This window comes from Homo sapiens, chromosome X, assembly GCF_000001405.40.
Source record: "Homo sapiens chromosome X, GRCh38.p14 Primary Assembly".
NCBI classification, from domain to species: domain Eukaryota; kingdom Metazoa; phylum Chordata; class Mammalia; order Primates; family Hominidae; genus Homo; species Homo sapiens.
Genome location: NC_000023.11, coordinates 53888116 through 53889598, shown reverse-complemented (window position 1 = coordinate 53889598; position 1483 = coordinate 53888116).

Below are 1483 nucleotides of genomic sequence, written 5' to 3'. Positions count from 1 at the left end.
TCCATCAGGTCCTTTAAGGACTTCTCTGCATTTGTTATTCTAGTTAGCCATTCGTCTAATTTTTTTTCAAGGTTTTTAACTTCTTTGCCGTGGGTTCGAACTTCCTCCTTTAGCTCAGAGTAGTTTGATCATCTGAAGCCTTCTTCTCTCAACTCGTCAAAGTCATTCTCTGTCCAGCTTTGTTTCGTTGCTGGTGAGGAGCTGCGTTCCTTTGGAGTAGGAGTGGCACTCTGATTTTTAGAGTTTCCAGTTTTTCTGCTCTGTTTTTTCCCCATCTTTGTGGTTTTATCTATCTTCGGTCTTTGATGATGGTGACGTACAGATGGGGTTTTGGTGTGGATGTCCTTTCTGTTTGTTAGTTTTCCTTCTAACAATCAGGACCCTCAGCTGCAGGTCTGTTGGAGTTTGCTGGAGGCCCACTCTAGACCCTGTTTGCCTGGGTATCAGCGGCAGAGGCTGCCGAACAGTCGATATTGGTGAACAGCAAATGTTGCTGCCTGATCGTTCCTCTGGAAGTTTTGTCTCAGAGGAGTACCCAGCCGTGTGAGGTGTCAGTCTGCCCCTCCTGGGGAGTGCCTCCCAGTTAGGCTACCCGGGGGTCAGGGACCCACTTGAGGAGGCAGTCTGTCTGTTCTCAGATCTCCAGCTGCGTGCTGGGAGAACCACTACTCTGCCTTTCATGTTTTTTCTTCCTTTTTTTTTTTCTTTTTTTTGAGACAGAGTCACACTGCCACCCAGGCTGGAGTGCGGTGGTGCAATCTCAGCTCACTGCAATCTCCGCCTCCTGGATTCAAGCAATTCTCGTGCCTCAGCCTCCCAAGTAGCTGGGAATACAGGCACATGCCACCACACCGGGCTAATTTTTGTAGTTTTAGTAGAGATAGTATTTCGCCATGTTGGCCAGGCTGGTCTCGATCTCCTGGCCTCAAGTGATCAGCTCCCCTCTGTCTCCCAAAGTGCTGGGATTACATGCGTGAGCCACTGAGCATGGCCAATATGAATTTTTTTTTTTTTTGAGATGGAGTCTCACTCTGTCACCCAGCCTGTAGTGCAGTGGCACAATCTCGGCTCAGTGCAACCTCCATATGGATTTTAAAATAGTTTTTTCTAGTTCTGTGAAGAATGTCATTGGTAGTTTGATAGGAATAGCATTGATTCTGTAAATTCCTTTGGGCAGTATGGTCAGTTTAACAATATTGATTCTTCTAATCCATGGGTATGGAATATTTCTCCATTTGTTTGGGAAATCTCTGATTTCTTTCACCAATATTTTGTAATTCTAATAATAGAGGTTTTTTTTTTTTTTTTTTACCTCCTCGGTTATCTGCATTCCTAAGTATTTCATTGTTTTTGTGGCCATTGTGAATGGGAATGCCTTTCTTATTTGGCTCTCGGTTTGACTGTTGTTGGTGTACAGGAATGCTAGTGATTTTTGTACATTGATTTAGAACTGAAGGGAGAAATAGCAATATAATAATATGGG